Here is a 19,487-nt window from a genome sequence, read left to right on the forward strand (position 1 = left end):
TGTGTATTTTCCAGAAGAGCAATGTTAAGTTCCACCGAGCAAGCGATGGGGGAATGGGTGATTGAAGTGTCGCAGCTGCTGGAGAGGCACTGGCTCCCACAGAAGGCCTTCTTTTTCTCTGTGTTCAGGCCCCATCCAACACAAAGCGTTTTCCTATTATTTTAAGTCTCACTGGGGTATTTATTTTCTCAGCAATTAAATGTGTCAGGAAATGCCCTGAGTCCTCAATTCTCTTCTTCCTACAGGAGCAGCTGCCTACACTTCTCCTTCCTGAGTCTAGATAAACACAGAGAATGGCTAGAATACTTACTAGAATTTGCTCAAGATGCAGCTCCAATCCCAAACCAATATGATAAGCATTTCATGGAGCGTGACTACACTGGTTATGTACTGGCTCTGAATGGCCACAAGAAATACTTCTGCCTCTTCAAGCCCCAAAAGACAGTCGAAGAGGAGGAAGCCATAGGGTCGTGCAGTGATGTTGACTCTTCCCTCTACCTGGGTGAATCTCGAGGGAAACCTTCCTGTGGCCTTGGATCCAGGCCCATCAAAGGAAAGTTGAGCAAGCTCTCTTTATGGATGGAACGCCTGCTGGAGGGCTCCTTACAGAGGTTTTATATCCCATCATGGCCTGAACTAGACTGAGAGGATTTTCCAAAGAGATTTGAACTCTTCAGACTTTTTAACATGCCCCTGTGAACAGGTATTTTCAGGACTCAAACTACCACAATGAACAGAGTATAGATTTTAGATTGCTCTTCTAGAACCATGGCTAGAAGAATCTTTCCTTTGTCCTGTTCTAACCTAGGAATGAAAAACACCACCAGTTTGAATCGCCTAGATGAAAATCTTTTCCTCTGGGTGTTATTTTTCCCCACTGAATGCCACACCATTGAAAATAGACTGCTCATCCCCTCTTCCTTTCTTGTCCTTGTCCCATGCTCACCCCACCCTCCTGTCCTGTGTCTTGGAGAAGCACAGGGCTCCACCCTGCAAGCGGCATCTGGCGGACCCTCATGAGCCTGTCGTGCAGGCCAGGTCATTGGCCCCTTCCCCAATCCCGGCCCTGCTGTGCTGCTGCCATGGCGCATGCTCCTAACTCTGAACAACCCACGGCAGCTTCTAGCCCCGCATCTGGAAAAAGGCCCCTTTCCAAGCAATCTCACGTTTACTGGTTGTTCTGGGAGTAAGTGGCTAAATGTATATTTTGGGGGTATCCCCCAACAACAGTTTGTTGGCCACAGGTTGAAAAGGAAAGGAATAAACGGGAGTTCTGCATGTGAGTTCTCAAGAAAAGGAAAGGGAGGCTGAGCAGTGGCTGAAGCGATGCAGCCTTGAGACACGCTGTGAGCATCCCATCCGCCGCCCCAGCGCTGCTGGTAGCCAGGGGAGGGGTCTGCACAGCGAGAAGTACTGTGATGACTTTGAGCCGTTGACATGTATGTCTTCAGATGCCTTTCTGCCTCTGTCGATTTTAGGGTATGGATATTAGGAGCCATAACTTGTAATCTTGTTCTCTGAACGTAGAGATAAGCTGCTATAAAGCCAGTAGATGTTAAACTGAAGAGAAATTATTCCCACCTGCTATGAGTCAGGCTTAAGGAATCTCTTCAATAGTGTCTCTTTAGTAAAATACCAAACATGTCTTTGTATCAAGGAACTTAAAATTTCTCAACAATTGTATTTTGAACACTGTTACCCTAAAAGTGCTGTCTCTTCAAGTCATCTTTTGCAGGAAGTGAGCCAAGATTTGTTCTAGACTCCCATTTTGCAAAAGGCTTACTTTCCACTTCTGGGCTGTATTTTGATGTCTCATCTTCATTGTTTTCACTCTTAACTTAGAGCTGCTTCACCAGTATTGGGGTCAGACTGGCCATCAGCACCTGAGCGTGCTGAGCTCCAGGTATAGTGGACCCCAGGGTGCCTCATACCAGCCAGTTAGAGAGCATACCTTTTATTTTTCAGGGCAGAATGACCAGTGGTTCTGAGTTTGAGTTTGGACAGCTTCAAAGAGTGGTCCGTTCAAATGTCAAAGCAAGGTGCCTTTGGTGGCTTTGTGAAGGGTGAAAATCAGTGATGGGACATTTACTAAGTATTTCTTTTTTTTTTTTTTTTTTTAGTTGTTGAGACAGAGTTTCACTCTTGTTGCCCAGGCTGGAGTGAAATGGTGCGATCTCGGTTCACCGCAACCTCCACATCCCAGGTTCAAGTGATTCTCCTGCCTCAGCCTCCTGAGTAGCTAGGATTACAGGCATGTGCCACCATGTAATTAGCCCGGCTAATTTTGTATTTTTAGTAGAGACGGGATTTCTCCATGTTGATCAGGCTGGTCATGAACTCCTGACCTCAGGTGATCTGCCTGCCTCAGCCTCCCAAAGTGCTGCTGGGATTACAGGCGTGAGCCACCACTCCCGGCTAAGTTAGTATTTCTTTAATCTTAATGCTTTAAACTAAGCCACTTGGATCCTGAATAATTTAAATCTTGAGCTACATTGGTAAGTAATAAATTATTTAAGGCCAGGAATTCCTGTAGTTTTCATGGAGTCTGTAGCTTTATTAAAAAATAAATCACTGCCAGGCTTCATTCTTCCATATGATCCTCTAAAAATGGACACTTCCTCTGAATGCTGTATCTCATGGCACCTGGTCCAACTAGAAATGGTCAAGGAATTCATTTGGCTCCTTGATACATCAGTCCTCAATATTACTTTCTAGGTATTTTATGGCCAGATTGCTTATATGAGTGGTCTTTTGGTTTGGTAGTAGGTTTTTATTTTTAATTTCTGTACTAATGAAATTCCTGACTTTAATTTCTGAAAACCAAAAACTCTCCAAGTGTATTTATTTATATTTTTTTTAATAGAGACGAGGTCTTGCTATGTTGCCCAGGCTGGTCCCAAACTCCTGGCCTCAAGCAGTCCTTCCACCTTGGCCTCCCAAAGTGCTGGGATTATCAATATGAGCCACCATGCCAGATTTGTTCATTTTTAAACATTTTTATCTCTTCAAGTCATCTTTTGATCTTTTAAAAAGCACCTTCAAACAGCTGCACCTTCCATTTGCACTAGGAAATGAAGGTAGTGATGGGATTGGCAATGTTCCTGGCAGATGTTTCAGCCCAAAAGCTCTTCTACAGACCGGTTTAGAGCTGGTGCCCTATGAGAATATTAGGGAGCTTTTATTTTAAATTGAACTTTACCCTTGTCCATGCAAGGCATTCCTCCTGAATGCATCCATGAATTTGTTTACTTTTGCGTCAAACATATGAGCCATTGTCATGCTCAGCCTGTGCCACCATTGCTCTGTCTGATGTATGTAATCATACAAGACCTGATTTTGGTTCTAACACAGTGGTCTTTGACTATCAACATTGATGTTTTTAGAGATGGGTTCTTCTGGTTGATACAGACTATGCATTGCGTTTAGCAGATGGGGTAAAACTGGCCTAAAACAAGTCTTTGCAGAATACATGCCAATTTCCAAAAAAAAAAAAAAATTTGTTGCTCAGGTGTTGCACAATTTTTATCTAACACTGAGGCTATCAGCTCCAACTAAACAACATTTCAGTGGGTGAGGCTGCCCTAACTTCCATTAGGGGCCATGGTCTCACTGCCATCACTTATTAGCCATGAGAATTTGGTTGTAGTTTTCAGGTAGGTTGGTTTCTTCCTCATTTGCAGCTTGTTGATACTTGTTCCTTTTTATTTATTAACATCCCAATCAATTTGCAGCTGCCATCATTACATAAATATTTTTCTGTTATAAAAAGAAGTGTGATCTGTTTTTTTAGTGATTTCCTTTGTTTGGGAATAGAGATTGGAAGCACATACTCAGACCTGTTTTGTTAACTAGAATTCTTTAAAAGCTGATGCCAAACATCTTTACAGAGGAACTGTAGTTCACATCCACCTGTCTGACATTGTCCCCTAAAAACAAGTGCAGTGTGGCAGCTGCTGAATCTGTCTGTTCAGTTTGTCAAGGAGGATAATTATGCTTGGGAGAGATCTGAAAAGAAGGTGAATATTTTGCACTTTTGATACTCTTAGGAACAAATAACTTATTTGGCAAATTGTTTCTTTTTTATGTTTTGGGTGTTGTTTTTGTTTTTTGACTTTTTTTGTATTGTGAACAGGCACTGAAGCTGATGTTATTTTAAGATTACAGAATGGAAAAAGAAATAAACTATTTTAATGTCTGATAATTATGGGGTAGCCCTTGCATTGCAAGATGATGATTTGATTATGGACACATTATCAACAGAATTGAATTTGCATGGAACTCAAGACACGCTTAAGATCACCACAGCATAACTGCAGATTTCAGGAATTACAGTCATAGAGGGTACATCAACTTGAAGAGTAGATTGAGTCTTACAGGAAGTGAGTTACAATAAGTAACATTAAGAGCCCAGCTGCCAGCCTGGCCAACATGGTGAAACCCCGTCTCTACTAAAAATACAAAAATTAGCCGGGCGTGGTGACGCATGACTGTAATTCTAGCTACTCAGGAGGCTGAGGCAGCAGAATTGCTTGAACCCAGGAGGCGGAGATTGCAGTGAGCTAAGATCGGGCCACTGCACTCCAGCCTGGGGGACAGAGCGAGACTCCATCTCAGAAAAAAAAAAAAAAAAAAAAGCCCAGCTGACATTTTCCAGTTTTGTTTTGTTTTCTGGGGTTTTTTTGTTTTGTTTTGTTTTGTTTTGTTTTTTAGTAGAGACGGGGTTTCACCATGTTGGCCAGGCTGGTCTTGAACTCCTGACCTCAGGTGATCCTCCCGCCTAGGCCTGGGATTACAGGCGTGAGCCACTGGGTCCGGCCTGCTTTTTTTTTTTTTTTTTTTTTTTTGGAGACGGAGTCTCACTCTGTCACCCAGGCTGGAGTGTAGTGGCATGACCTCAGCTCACTGCAACCTCCACCTCCCGGGTTCAAGCAATGCCCCTGCCTCAGCTTCCTGAGTAGCTGGGACTATAGGCACGCGCCACCACGCCCAGCTAACTTCTGTATTTTCAGTAGAGATGGGTTTTCACCATGTTGGCCAGGCTGGTCTCGAACTCCTGACCTCAAGTGATCTGCCCACCTCCGCCCCCCAAAGTGCTGGGATTACAGGCATGAGCCACCGTGTCCAGCCTTAGGTTTTCTAGTTTAGAAGACATTTTGTGTACCCTTCTAGGCCTCTGAGCAAGAAGTTTCTTCATTAGGCTCTCCGTGTTACTTTATACTTTTTACTTACGTTCACAGTGGTCCTAAAACCAAGATGCAGCCCTAAGCACCTCATAGGAGAAGCTGTATTTTTTTTTTTTTTTTTTGAGATGGAGTCTTGCTCTGGCACCCAGGCTGGAGTGCAGTGGTGCGATCTCAGCTCACTGCAGCGTCCGAGGAGGAGCTGTAGTTTAAAGGAAGATACTCAATACTCTAGGAAGCAGATCATCAAAATTTTAAAAAGCGGCTGGGTGCGGTGGCTCATGCCTGTAATCCCAGCACTTTAAGGAGGCTGAGGCGGGCGGATCACCTTAGGTCAGGAGTTCAAGACCAGCCTGGCCAATGTGGTGAAACCCTGTCTCTACTAAAAATACAAAAATTAGCCAGGCGTGGTGGCAGGCACCTGTAATCCCAGGTACTCAGGAGGCTGAGGCAGGAGAATCGATTGAACTCGGGAGGCGGAGGTTGCAATGAACCGAGATCATGCCATTGCACTCCAGCCTGGGTGACAAGCAAAACTCTATCTCAAAAAAAAAAATGTTTAAAAGGAAGATATAGAAATATGGAATGCTTATACAGTATTATTTCATAGTTTTTTTAAATGTCATGTTTCTAATGTTTAGATAATCTTGAAAGAAATTCTCCTCACTTCCCCTTTATCCTCCATCTTTCATCAAAGGAAAAAAAATCAAAGCAGTACAAGTACTCCTTTTTTTTTCCCCCAATTAATCCAAGTTCCTTAGAAATGTTGCTGTTTGGGTGAGAATTCTACTGATTATCCCGACTTCACAGCCAGCAATGACACTTTCAGCAGAAAGTTTTCTTGGCATAAACTCTTTAGTTCTCAGACTGCTTACTCATAAGTTCTTCTTGAGAACTTGTCAGCGACGCAATCTGTTTTGTCTTGAAGAGCACAAGACTCAGACGGTTGTCACTTTGGGGAGAGCACATAGCATCTCAAACAGCAGGTTAGCCGCCAGCAGGGCTGTGTTCCCTAAGAAAAAGTAAAACCTCACATGAATACCCTGCAGACGACCCGCTGAGCCAAGCCTTGGGACTCCTCAGCTTTCTCTTCCCCTTGTGCCTCCTTTTCCAGAGCCCTGTCTTGTGCACCCCTCTAGGGTGCCCGCCAGCTGTGAACACGCTTGCCCAGGCTCTCTGCCTCCATCAAGCATCATTTGGGAATCATATTTTAAAATTCAGAAAGTTCTTTGTTTACTCTGAGAACAGATTTTTCCCAAAGGAGAACCTATAATAATGATGTGTACTGTATTATCTATCCTCTGAGGTCGATAGGCCTAATTCCATAAGTTTGTCTACATTAAAATTATTGGGATGGCGTCTGCTTTGAAGATCTTAACCAGCTAAGTTCCTATTTGATAAATATTAACATATATTATTTATGCTTTAGAATTCACTTTGCAATGAAACATCAAAGGAGACGGGGATTGGGCCACCCTGTCACTAGACTACAGGCTGGTTTCTTTCTCTTCTGCTGATTGGTGGGCAAGCTAATGATACTTAACTACCTCCTGGGGGTTTTGTTAGGGTTAATGAGCTCATGTTTGTAAGGTGTGCAGTAATAGGTGTGTTTTCTTCACCATTGGACATGCTCAGCTGCTTCCCCAAGTCATATAAGGGACTCATCTTTTTTTTTTTTTTTTTGAGATGGAGTCTCGCTCTGTCACCCAGGCTGGAGTGCAGTGGCGCAATCTCAGCTCACTGCAACCTCCGCCTCCTAGGTTCTAAGCGATTCTCCTGCCTTAGCCTCCTGAGTACCTGGGATTACAGGTGTGTGCCACCACACCTGGCTAATTTTTATATCTTTAGAGAGATGGGGTTTCGCCATGTTGGCCAAATTGGTCTTGAACTCCTGACCTCAGGTGAGCTGCCCACCTTGGCCTCCCAAAGTGCTGGGATTACAGGCTTGGGCCACCATGCCTGGCCCCATTTTCTACTTATTAACTAGCTTCGTGTAATTTAAGCTACCGGCTGCCCATGGATCTCAGTCTCTTTGCTTACTCACCAGAAAGATCATACGGTGGTGAAACTTCGACAAGATCACAGCCCATCACGTTCAGGCCTTGACAACCCCTGATGATCTCCAGAGCCTATTCAAGATCAAGACTGAGTTGTCCACAGTGGTAATCATTTACAGTGAAAAGCACCCAGTAGAGCTTTTCCCAGCCCACGCCACCCTTTGACTTGGAATTGGCTTTCCCTCCATAAACATTTGTTGACTGCCAGGCACACTGGCAGGCCTCCCAGAGAAACAGATAATGCGTACACAGTCCCTGCTCCTCAGGGCTGCATGGTGTGGTGATGGAGACAAGGAAACCAATCGTTTCAATGTCATGCACCAAGGGCTTCAAGGAAAGCAAGCCCAGAATGGTATCAGCATAGGTAATAGCCTGGAGAGGTGGGTAAGGCTTCCCCAAGGTGGAAATACCCAGTTCAAGGGATAGGCCAGGCAGAGGGAAAAACACAGGCAAAGGCACCAAGATGGGAAAAGTTCAGGTAGTAAGATGTGGCCAGAAGACAGAGTAAGTGAGGGAGACTGATGGGAAGAGAGTGACCTTGTCTGAAAGGGTTCCCATCCTGCAGGTGAAAAGCCCAGAAGGTTGCTAAGCAGAGGGATGAGGAATGTGTTTCAGAAATCCCTCATGAGAAGAGAGGATGGTTACAGCCATTTCAAGAGAGAGAGTTATGGCCACCCTCCTTTAAGATCTTAGAGGATGTAAGGTACTTGATTAGGTTTAAGCAGTCTTCATTCATTTACTCTCAAATGTCTTTGAGTGCCTACTATTTGTATTAGGCACTGTCCTAGGCTCCAAGGACAAGGTAGGGAACAATACATAGGTCCTGCCCTTGGGGAGATTCTAGTCATAACCATTCTGCCCCCGTGCATTTACTCCCAGCACACATTATTGGAGCTTTATTTGGGTGTTTCTAAAACTCTTGAGCTTACCTTGGCAGGTAATTGTGCCATCACATGCACTTTTATTTATTTATTTATTTATTTATTTATTTATTTATTTATTTTTGAGACAGGGTCTCTGTCACCCGGGCTATAGTGCAGTGGTATGATCACGGCTCACTGAAGGCTTGACCTGCCAGGCTCAGTTGATCCTCCTGCCCCAGCCTCCCTAGTAGCTGGGACTACAGGTGCACACTAGCACACCAGACTAATTTTTATTTTTATTTTTAGTAAAGATGGGATCTCACTATGTTGCCCAGGCTGGGCTGAAACTCCTGGGCTCAAACGATCCATCCACCCTGGCCTCCCAAAGTGCTGAGGATAGTGCCTGAGCCACCGCGCCTGGCCCGTTGTATGCACTTTTATTTAAATTTAACCCTAAAAAGATAAGTTTAGTGTTTTTGTTTGTTTTGAGATGGAGTTTCACTCTTGTTGCCCAGACTGGAGTGCAATATCATGATCTCGGCTCACCACAACCTCAGCCTCCCAGGTTCAAGTGATTCCCCTGCCTCAGCCTCCCGAGTAGCTGGGATTACAGGCATGCGCCACCATGCCCGGCTAATTTTGTATTTTTAGTAGAAATGGGGTTTCTCCATGTTAGGCTGGTCTCAAACTCCCTACCTCAGGTGAACCACCCGCCTGATGCCTTGGCCTCCCAAAGTGCTGGGATTACAGGTGTGAGCCACTGCGCCCGGCCAAGTTTAGTGTTTTTGTTTGGTTGGTTGGTTGGTTTTTTTTTTGAGGTGGAGTCTTGCTCTGTTGCCCAGGCTGGAGTACAGTGGCACGATCTCAGCTCACTGCAACCTCCGCCTCCAGGGTTCAAGCAATTCTCCTGCCTCAGCCTCCCAAGTAGCTGGGATTACAGACGCCTGCCACCGTGCCGGGCTGATTTTTGTACTTTTAGTAGAGACAGGGTTTCACCATCTTGGCTAGGCTGGTCTCGAACTCCTGACCTTGTGATCCACCCGCCTCGGCCTCCCAGAGTGCTGGGATTCCAGGCGTGAGCCACGACACCTGGCCAAGTTTAGTGTTCTTTTTTTTTTTTTTTTTTTTTTTTTTTGAGATGGAGTTTCACTCTTTCGCCCAGGCCAGACTGCAGTGGTTCTATCTCGGCTCACTGCAAGCTCTGCCTCCCGGGTTCATGCCATTCTCCTGCCTCAGCCTCCTGAGTAGCTGAGATTACAGGCACCCGCCACCGCGCCCGGCTAATTTTTTTGTATTTTTAGTAGAGACGGAGTTTCACCGTGTTAGCCAAGATGGTCTCGATCTCCTGACCTCGTGATCCACCCACCTCAGCCTCCCAAAGTGCTGGGATTATAGACGTGAGCCACCGTGCCCGGCCAAGTTTAGTGTTCTTAAGAGAGGATACTATAATGTTGTTCCTATGAACTGTTGTTTTCATGACAGATGAACTGAAGGCAGGAAGAGCAAATAAAGGACAAAATAAGGGACTATTATATCCCAGATAGGAAATGAAGGCCCTTGCCAAAATCAATCACCCTTCAGTAAGAGGGTATTCAAACTTATCCTCAGCCCAGAGAACAGAAAAGGCCTAGGTGCTCTGCTCTTAAAATCCTACCTTGGCAGCCAGGCGCGGTGGCTGACACCCGTAATCCCAGCACTTTGGGAAGCCGAGGTGAGTGGATCACGAGATCAGGAGTTCAAGACCAGCCTGACCAACATGGTGAAACCCCATCTCTACTAAAAATACAAAAATTAGCCGGGCGTAGTGGCATGTGCCTGTAATCTCAGCTACTCAGGAGGCTGAGGCAGGAGAATCGCTTGAACCTGGGAGGCGGAGGTTGCAGTGAGCCGAGATCGCACCACTGCACTCCAGCCTGGGCGACAGAGTGAGACTCCGTCTCAAACAAACAAACAAAAATCCTATCCTGATTCCTAAAGATTCGCTTCAAGTCCCAGGAAAATGGGTGTTAAGTGTCTCCACCCCCAGGATCTTCACTGGTGGAATCTCCTTACCTGACTAGGAGTGAGACCAGCAATTTCAGGTGTCCCTGTCCCTGGCGCATAGGCAGGATCCAGAGCGTCAATATCAAAGCTGATATAAATGGGTTTGCCTCCCATCTGCTGCCTGACTTCCCCCATCAGAGGAACCAGCGACTTCATCCAGCAGTCTTCAGCCAGGACTACCCGGAAGCCCTGCAGAGACAGGGACTGAGGTTTCTGTCTGGCAGCATTTACAGGGCATTTCCTGTTTGCCAGCCCCATGCTCAGCTCTGTGTGCACATGACACTTGACCCTCCATCTCCATGAAGAGGGAACTATCCTATTTTACAGGTGAGGAAGGGAGGGACAATGAGTGGTAAGGAAGCAGGGTCAAAGCTGACTGATGGAGTTGGAATCAGAGAGAAGCTTTGCTAAAGCAAGAGTGGGAAACAGCAGCTCACGCTAGCACCTTTTGAATTGCTCTGTCCAGAAGACTGGCCTTGGCACGCTCTAAAAGCAAGGGATTTGGGTCTGTTCCATTGGGGTCTTGTCATACACGTCTATCTGAGAGCCATTCTGCCTAGAGGGTACGAGGACCAGAACTAAGAAGGTGGCAACTCATCTTGGGTCCGGACTTCCTCCCCTCTTTTTTTTTTCTTTTGAGATGGAGTCTCACTTTGTCACCTAGGCTAGAGTGCAGTGGCGCGATCTCAGCTCACTGCAACCTCCACCTCCCACGTTCAAGCAATTCTCCTGCCTCAGTCTCCCGAGTAGCTGGGATTACAGGTGCGCACCGCCACACCTGGCTAATTTTTGTATTTTTAGGAGAGACGGGGTTTCACCATGTTGGCCAGGCTGGTCTCGAACTCCTGACCTCAGGTGATCCACCCACCTTAGCCTCCCAAAGTGCTGGGATTACAGGTGTGAGCCACTGTGCCCGGCCTCCTCCCCTCTTCTAAGCCAGCACCGTCCGAGGGGTTGGTCGATTTCTGCTTGTCTCCCCCGCCCAGCGATAGACTTCCCATGGCCCATAAACCAACTTCCTCACTCCTATGCTCCTTATGCCCCTGATGATGCAAACTCAGCCTTGTATCCCTGCTTCAGACTTGATTAGTAAAGCCCCCGCTCAATCCCTGGCTGCCACTGGTGAGGCAACGGAGAGGAAGACATTTTGAGGGGCAAGGGTGGGGGGCATTCGGTCTGTCACCTGGCTCCGGTTGTATCTGTAGGGATCCAAGGTCGTGGAAGAGCCCCGGATGCCAATCTGCACCACACGCTTACAGTCCAGGAGACCCTCATCCACACACCGGCGGAAGGGCGCCCCGTGGTAGAGCTTCTCTCCTAGGGCCTTGTCGGTCGTGTCCGTGTGCGCATCCACGTGCAGCAGCCCCACTGGGCCATGCCTGATGACAACAGGGCAGCTCAGAGGCCAACCCTCCCTGTGGGGCCCTAGCACAGCCACCCTTCGGGCCACCAAAACTTGGTGACAATTCACAGCCAAAAAGGGGAGACCTGGCATCCGTTTTCTGCCTTGCAACTGGTTCCTGTCTTCTTGAGATCACTTTGCATCTCAGAGGAACAATAAACTCACAGAAGTCAGGCAGGAAATAGACATGTTTTGGCTGCCACCCACACCTATCACCCAGAATTTGCTTCACTTAGAGACAGGATGAGAATCAAGGGTGGTGGCACAGGGGAGCTTGGCTGAAGGCTTAACTAAACCAAGACACACCCTTTCTCCAACCGAGGAAGAGGAAGCTTTAATCCAGCTCTCTCCATAACCTCCATCAACCCCTGCCAGCCACCCAAAATAAACATCTGATCCAAATCCGTGAGGAATAAATGCAGCTTTGAGCAAAGACCTGCACCCTCCCACCTCCAACCAGAATGCCACCCACATGTGCTTCCACAGACACATTCTGGAGCTGCCACCCTCCACCCGGGTCCTTCTGTCTCTTTCTCAAACTAAATTAGCCAAAGTCGGCCAATCCTGGGTAGACTTCCACTACTGGCAAATCAGTCTTTTGATTGAGAAAGGTGCCCTTTCAGGAGGAAACAAGGGCCTCTCAGCAAGGTCCACCATTGTGCCTGTCAGTGTTTGTTTTTGGCCATTGAAGCAAAACAGAAACTGAAGTTAACTGAGGTTGTGTATTTCACTAGAGGCTCATCTTCCAAAAACAGAAGCAAGTTGAAAATGCTGAGCACACATACCAGGAGAGATCTAGGGCAAGGGAGGGTGGCCAGAACTGTTAATAATAAATTGTCTTGGCTTCTAGCTGCTGACTGACAGAGACACCTGGAGCTCAACCTTAATTTTGATCCCCAGAAGCAGCTCATAACCTGAGCCAGCAGCAGTCACCTAATGCCACCAAACAGCAAATAACTCATTCCCTAGCTTCTGGCTTTTGAAATCTTGCTGGGCCCAAGCCATTTGAGACTTACTTTTTTGCCATCGCTTGCAATATGGGATATGTGATTGTGTGATCTCCACCTGCAAAGAGGAAGAAGAAAACATCTGGAAAGTGAATTGGAGGATTACATAGAATAATCTTTTTTTTTTTTTTTTTTTTTTGAGATGTAGTTTTGCTCTGTTGTCCAGGCTGGAGTTCAATGGCACAATCTCGGCTCACTGCAACCTCTGCCTCCCAGGTTCAAGCGATTCTCCTGCCTCAGCCTCCCGAGTAGCTGGGATTACAGGTGTGTACCACCATACCTGGCTAATTTTGTATTTTTAGTAGAGACGGAGTTTCACCATGTTGGTCAGACTGGTCTCAAACTCCTGACCTCAAGTGATCCACTCGCCTTGGCCTCCCAAAGTGCTAGGATTACAGGCATGAGCCACCATGCCCAGCTGAATAATCTTAACTCAATTTTCACCCTTTCAGCCTGGGGGGAGTTATAACCACAGCTACAGTAAGATCTTATAGAATGGCAGGATGCTGAATGAGCCTGGGAGGTCAAGGCTGCAGTAAGCTGTGATCGTGCCACTGCACTCCAACCTGGGCGACAGAGTAAGACACTATCTCAAAAAAATGAATAGCTTGCTGGGCACGGTGGCTCATGCCTGTAATCCCAGCAGTTTGGGAGGCCAAGGCGGGCAGGTCACCTGATGTTGGGAGTTCAAGACCAGCCTGACCAACATGGAGAAACCCCGTCTCTACTGAAAATACAAAATTAGCCGGGCATGGTAGCGCATGCCTGTAATCCCGGCTACTCTGGAGGCTGAGGCAGGAGAATCACTTGAACCCAGGAAGCGGAGGTTGCGGTGAGCCAAGATCGCGCCACTGCACTCCAGCCTAGGCAACAAGGGTGAAACTCCATCTCAAAAAATAAAATAAAATAAATAAATAAATAGCTTGAGCCTAGAAGTTTGAGACCAGCCTGGGCAACACAGCAAGACCACGTCTCTAAAAAATAAAAATAAAAATAGACCAGGCGCAGTGGCTCACACCTTGGGAGGCCAAGACAAGCAGATCGCCTGAGCCCAGGAATTCAAGGTCCACCTGGGTAATACATTAAGACCCCGTCTTTGCAAAAAATACAAAAATTAGCTGGGCATGGTGACAAACGCCTGTAGACCCAGCTACTCGGGAGGCTGGAGTGGAAGGATCACCTGAGCCCAGGGAGGGCAAGGTTGCAGCGAGCCATGTCGGCACCACTGCACTCCAGCCTGGGTGACAGAGTGAGACCGTGTCTCAAAAATAAATAAATAAAAGAGGAAATTAGACAAGTTAAGAGCTACTCTAGGAATTGCCTTTTCACAGTATTCTAGGAAAATGCCTAGAATAGCTCTGTTCAATAGAACCTTCTATGATGATGACAATGTTCTATCTGCACTGGCCCATATGGTAGCCACTATCCACATGTGACACACATGTGACATACATGTAGCTAATATGACTTAAGAAACTGAATATTTTATTTTAATTAATTTGAATTTAGGCCGGGCGTGGTGGCTCACGCCTGTAATCCCAGCATTTTGGGAAGCTGAGGCGGCGGATCACCTGAGGTCAGGAGTTCGAGACCAGCCTTGCCAACATGTTGAAACCCTATTTCTACTAAAAATGCAACAAATTAGCTGGGCGTGGTGGCACGCGCCTGTAATCCCAGCTATTCAGGAGGCTGAGGCAGGAGAATCACTTGGACCCAGGAGGCGGAGGTTGCCGTGAGCCAAGCGGGACAACAAGAGCAAAACTCTGTCTCAAAAAAAAAAAGAATTTAAGTAGCCACATGTGGCTAGTGGCTACCTTACTGGACAGCACAGACCTAGGAAAGTATTCTTTCTGATAATAATAACAGTTAACATTTATTGAAGCTTCAGATATGCCATGCATAGGTCGGGCGCAATGGCTCACGCCTGTAATCCCAACACTTTGGAAGGCCGAGGTGGGCAGATCACCTGAGGTCAGGAGTTCGAGACCAGCCTGACCAATATGATGAAACCCCGTCTCTACTAAAAATATAAAAATTAGCCGGGCATGCTGGCGGGCGCCTATAATCCCAGCTATTCAGGAGGCTGAGACAGAATTGCTTGAACCCGGGAGGCGGAGGTTGCAGTGAGCCGAGATCGTGCCATTGCACTCCAGCCTGGGCAACAAGAGTGAAATTCTGTCTCAAAAAAAAAGAAAAAAAAAAAAGATATGCCATGCTTGATGCTGGGCATTTCATGTGCACTTTCATTATATGCCCCTCACATCATGCAGTGAGTAGGTGTTACTGTGATCATTCCCATCTTACAGGTGAGGGTGTGAAGCATCAAGCACGGTATACAGCAACATTGCTAGGGAGAAGTGCAGCTGAGACTTCAAACCATGCCATCGGGAAACCACACTCCTCCCACTATGCCATGCAGGCTAGGCTCTCTAACTTGGCAAAAATGAATTTGGATATTTAGGAAAAGATCCCTGTCATTTTAAGTATTTGTGAACAAGAGAAAAAGTGAGAGTGGGTCAGGGGTGAGGATAAGGGGAAAGCTGCCCTATAGGTTGATGTAGACCCTGAGCAGGACAAAAACACCCTCTTTGCAGTTCTCCTCGCAAATAAAGTCATTAGAAACATCATCTTGGCCAGGCGCGGTGGCTCATGCCTGTAACCCCAGCACTTTGGGAGGCCAAGGTGGGCGGATCACTTGAGGTCAGGAGTTCAAGACCAGCCTGGCCAACATGGCAAAACCCCGACTCTACCAAAAATACAAAAATTAGCCAGGCATGGTGGTGGGCGCCTGTAATCCCAGCTACTTGGGAGGCTGAGGCAGGAGAATTGCTTGAACCCAGGAAGTGGAGGTTGCAATGTGCCGAGATTGCACCACTGCACTCCAGTCTGGGTAACAGAGTGAGACTGTCTCACACACACACATACACACACACGTGAAATATTCTCTCCCCAGGGATTAAAATAAATGAATTACAATGCTCTCTTTCCTACTGTCTGCACATTTGCAGTGGCTTGCAGGGGAGAAGTAGCTGTACTCAAGCCCCTGAGTACAGGATAAGTAAACCCTGAGTGCAGGGAACTACTCTGGCTCTTGCAGACTGACATTACCCAAGGTCAGAGGAATACAGCCAGCTGCTACAATTTTCTCATAGGCCTCTTGAATTCGCCGGCAGCTGTCCTGAAGGTTGTAAAGATTGACATTCACATCGCCTAGGTCTGCAACCATGAGGGACTGGAAGGGGAGGGCCCCCGTGCTAGGATTGACTGTCCCAAGCATCACTGATTCTTCCCGGATGCGGCGAGGTCCGAATCTGCAGAAGGAAGAATCATCCTGTCAGCCATCATCTGCAGAGATTTCAGGCTTTGCTTAGGCCAGGGCTTCTCAGCCTCAGCAATTTGGGGCCAGATGATTCCGTGTCGCGGCATTGCATAATGGAATGCTTAGCAGCATCCCGGCCTGTACTCACTAGGTGCCAGTAGCACCCTTCCTCCAAGGTGTAACAACCCAAAACGCCTCCAGATACTGCCAAATGTCCCCGGAGTGCAAAACCGCCCCACTTGAGAATCACCGATCTAGGCTATGTATCGAAGAGACTAAATAAGTGTACTAAATGGCATTAGTGAATTTCATGATCTACCTGAGTCTCAGTTTCCTAATTTGTAAAATATTTACCTTGCACTGTAGTAAAAATTAAATGAGGTAATCTATGCAAAGCACCTTGCACTTAGGAGACATTTAATAAGTGCTGGCTTTCATAATTCAGATCAGTACGGTCAGATATAGTGTTGCTGAGCTGAATCAGAAATTGCTGACGTTCAATAACTAGGAAGATGAATTTTGCTTCCTCCGACTTGATCCTAGGAAAATTGCCTTCATTTGAGCATTTCTTGAGTCAGGTGACATCTTCAGATTTGGGGAAGGGGCAGCCAGTTTCTGCTCTCAAATGCAATGTCACCTGCCACTGTAAGCTGGGGAGAGGAGAGGGGAGGAATCCACAGCAGCCATCCCAGCAAGGCCCCAGGATGGGGACACAGAGAAGGTTCAGGCTCCAGAATCCCTTCTTTTTTCTTTTTTTGAGACGGAGTCTCACTCTGTTGCCCAGGCTGGAGCGCAGTGGCGCAATCTCAGCTCACTGCAACCTCCGTCTCCCGGGTTCAAGCGATTCTCCTGCCTCAGCCTCCCGAGTAGCTGGGATTACAGGCCCGCGCCACCATGCCCGGCTTTTTTTTTCTTTTTTTTGTACCTTTGTAGAGACAGAGTTTCACCATGTTGGTCAGGATGGTCTCGAACTCCTGACCTCGTGATCCGCCCGCCTCAGCCTCCCAAAGTGCTGGGATTACAGGCATGAGCCACCGGGCCGGCCAAAATCCCTTCTTGACCAATGATGACACTAAGATGTGGGAGGCCACGCCCATGTTGAGCCCTGGGGTTTGCTTATTGAGGGTCCAGGTAAATCAACCATCTCAAACCATAAGGGGCATTTTGGAGCCGGCCACCAGCTTCCAACTCGACCCGGGGCCAGCAGGGGCGCCTGTCTCGGTGCTTTCCATGCCCGACAGCCAGCAAGCAGTCCCTCCACGTGTACCCGGCCCCCGTCCTTCCGGCCTTACCTCGCCCCAGGCCGGTTGGAGGTCCCAGTATCCAGGGGCACCCCGATGAAGGCAGCGTCCAGCCCCTCGGGGGAGGTCTGCACCGGCAGGCGCATCATGGAGCAGACGCCCACCGGCCGGGCCACGAACTCGGGGCTGGGGGGCTGGTTCCGGGGCGCGTCGGAAGCCTGGCGGCTCTGGCGGCGCCCCGGATGAAAGAGCCCTGCGGCAGGACGCGCGCCCACGCCGGGCCCCGGGCCCCGGGCGCACCCGGACGCCAGCAGCCTCAGCATTGCCGCGCGCGGCCAAGACCTCACCGACCAAACCGCCCGCGAGGCCGCCGCGATCTGGCTGGTCCCGAACGGCGAGGCGAGTGTGCACGCGCCAGAGCCGGAACCCGAGCCGGCTCAAAGGTCAGGGGCGCCCTAGGATCAAGGCGGGGGAGGGGCCCCAGGACCTGCCGTGCTCTCCCCTCAACCCCTCTGGACTTCAGCCTCTGGCAAATAGAGTCAGGCTGGGGGTGCCCACTGGCCGGCACTGTGCCAGGGGTGTCTGCGCCCTGCTCCCCACTGTGGCCTTCAGCAGCCTCTTCTCCCATTCAGAGTAATTGTTTGTTTTTATAGAGACGGTCTCACTGTGTTGCCCAGACTGGTCTCCAACTTCTGGACTCAAGTGATTCTCCCACCTTGGCCTCCCAAAGTGCTGGGATTACAGGTGTGAGCCACAGCAGCCACCCCAGAGTAATATTTTTAAAGCCAGAAAGATATGAAGGAAAATGATCTTTCTCTAAGCCAGAAAAATAGGAAATGCATTTTTTTAAATAATGTATTTTTAAATGTCCAGGGATAGGAATCTCAAGAAGCAGTAAAGTTAGTTAGCTACTTAGCTAGCTAGCTAGTTATTTTGAGACAGGGTCTTGCTGTGTTGCTCAGGCTGGAGTGCAGTGGCACAATCATAGCTCACTGCAGCCTCAAACTGCTGGGCTCAAGCAATCGTCTCACCTCAGCCTCCCGAGTAGTTGGGACTACAAGCGTGAGCCATCGCGCCTGGCCAGTAAAGTCTTTTTAAATAACCTTGTTAAAAAAGGACTAGAGGCCAGGGGCGGTGGCTCACGCCTGTAATCCCAGCACTTTGGGAGGCTGAGGCGGGCGGATCACGAGGTCAGGAGATCGAGACCATCCTGGCTAACACGGTGAAACCCCATCTCTACTAAAAGTACAAAAATTTAGCCGGGCATGGTGGCAGGTGCCTGTAGTCCCAGCTACTTGGGAGGCTGAGGCAGGAGAATGGCATGAACCCGGGAGGCGGAGCTTGCAGTGAGCTGAGATCAGGCCACTGCACTCCAGCCTGGGCAACAGAGCAAGACTCCGTCTCAAAAATAAATAAATAAATAAATAAATAAATAAATAAATAAATAAAGGACTTACAGGCAAGCTGTAAGGAAGGTCACAGTGCCAGAGAACCTGTTACATCCTCTTTATTTCTAAGGGGAAAGAAAAACACACGTGGAAAGAAAGAAGTGATTTGTAATGGAATTATGTGAGCCATTTAGCAGTATTATATATATTATTTTTTCTGATCTCTAAATGTTGAGATTGAATGGAAAAGGCTCACATTTGCATTTACGTTGCAACCTCTACACAAAGGTTGCACATTAGGCCAGGCGCGGTGGCTCACACCTGTAATCCCAGCACTTTGGGAGGCCGAGGTGGGCGGATCATGAGGTCAGGAGATGAGACCATCTTGGCTAACATGGTGAAACCCCATCTCTACTAAAAATACAAAAAATTAGCCAGGCGTGGTGGTGGGCACCTGTAGTACCAGCTACTCGGGAGCCTGAGGCGGGAGAATGACGTGAACCCGGGAGGGTGGAGTTTGCAGTGAGCCAAGATCGCGCCACTGCACTCCAGCCTGGGCAACACAGCAAGACTCTGTCAAAAAAAAAAAAAAAGGTTGCACATTAAACCCCACACCACTCCAGCCTCCACTCTGGAGTGGAGCCTCCACTCTGCAGGTCGGGACAGAGTTTCCTAATGGTCAATTATCAGTGCTTAGTGTTGGCCTTGGGGCAGGTCCCAGCCATTTTCTGGAACAAATGCAACAATCTCTCAGTTATTTTTTCCTTTTTTTCTCCCTTATGCCACTTAAAGGGTCTCAGTTATTCTCTTGACTCCCAAATTCAACTGCTATTTCTTTCATGTTGCTTGTCCTGAATGTATCATGTTCTTACTCCGGGTTTTTCTTTCATTCAGCTCACAAATATTGAGTGTCCGCTATGTGCCAGGCGTTCCAATGAGGTGTCCCCAACATCCACTACTGCTGAGCACCCTCTCTCCTTGAAACGT

The 19,487-nt window shown here is 47.8% G+C and overlaps 2 protein-coding genes across 4 annotated transcripts in view, besides 2 other annotated features; one reads left to right on the top strand and one right to left on the bottom strand.

The window, feature by feature from the left end:
• DNAJC16 (DnaJ heat shock protein family (Hsp40) member C16) overlaps positions 1-4,201 on the top strand; it is a 44,886-nt gene extending 40,685 nt beyond the window's left edge. For all 3 annotated transcript variants that reach the window (NR_109898.2, NM_015291.4, NM_001287811.2), the window contains one exon: positions 246-4,201. Coding sequence is in view for 2 of the 3 variants with exons in the window: in NM_015291.4 (NP_056106.1) it covers positions 246-645 (400 nt within the window). In the remaining variant the exon portion in view is untranslated. The remainder of the gene's footprint in view (positions 1-245) is intronic.
• AGMAT (agmatinase (putative)) lies at positions 4,167-17,519 on the bottom strand. Its single transcript, NM_024758.5, has 7 exons — positions 17,164-17,519; positions 15,661-15,863; positions 12,562-12,610; positions 11,327-11,522; positions 10,153-10,332; positions 7,225-7,309; positions 4,167-6,192 (listed from the first exon to the last, which is right to left on the bottom strand). The coding sequence occupies exons 1-7, from the start codon at positions 17,433-17,435 to the stop codon at positions 6,119-6,121; spliced, it is 1,059 nt and encodes a 352-aa protein (NP_079034.3). The 5' UTR covers positions 17,436-17,519; the 3' UTR covers positions 4,167-6,118.
• Positions 17,012-17,061: an enhancer, noted in NCBI's record as "active region_239". NCBI's record gives its function as "activates an Ori minimal core promoter by ATAC-STARR-seq in GM12878 lymphoblastoid cells {active_cell/tissue: GM12878}" and the evidence as "EXISTENCE:reporter gene assay evidence [ECO:0000049][PMID:35858748]".
• Positions 17,172-17,501: a silencer, noted in NCBI's record as "silent region_308". NCBI's record gives its function as "represses an Ori minimal core promoter by ATAC-STARR-seq in GM12878 lymphoblastoid cells {active_cell/tissue: GM12878}" and the evidence as "EXISTENCE:reporter gene assay evidence [ECO:0000049][PMID:35858748]".

Source organism: Homo sapiens, chromosome 1 (assembly GCF_000001405.40).
Source record: "Homo sapiens chromosome 1, GRCh38.p14 Primary Assembly".
Taxonomy (NCBI): domain Eukaryota; kingdom Metazoa; phylum Chordata; class Mammalia; order Primates; family Hominidae; genus Homo; species Homo sapiens.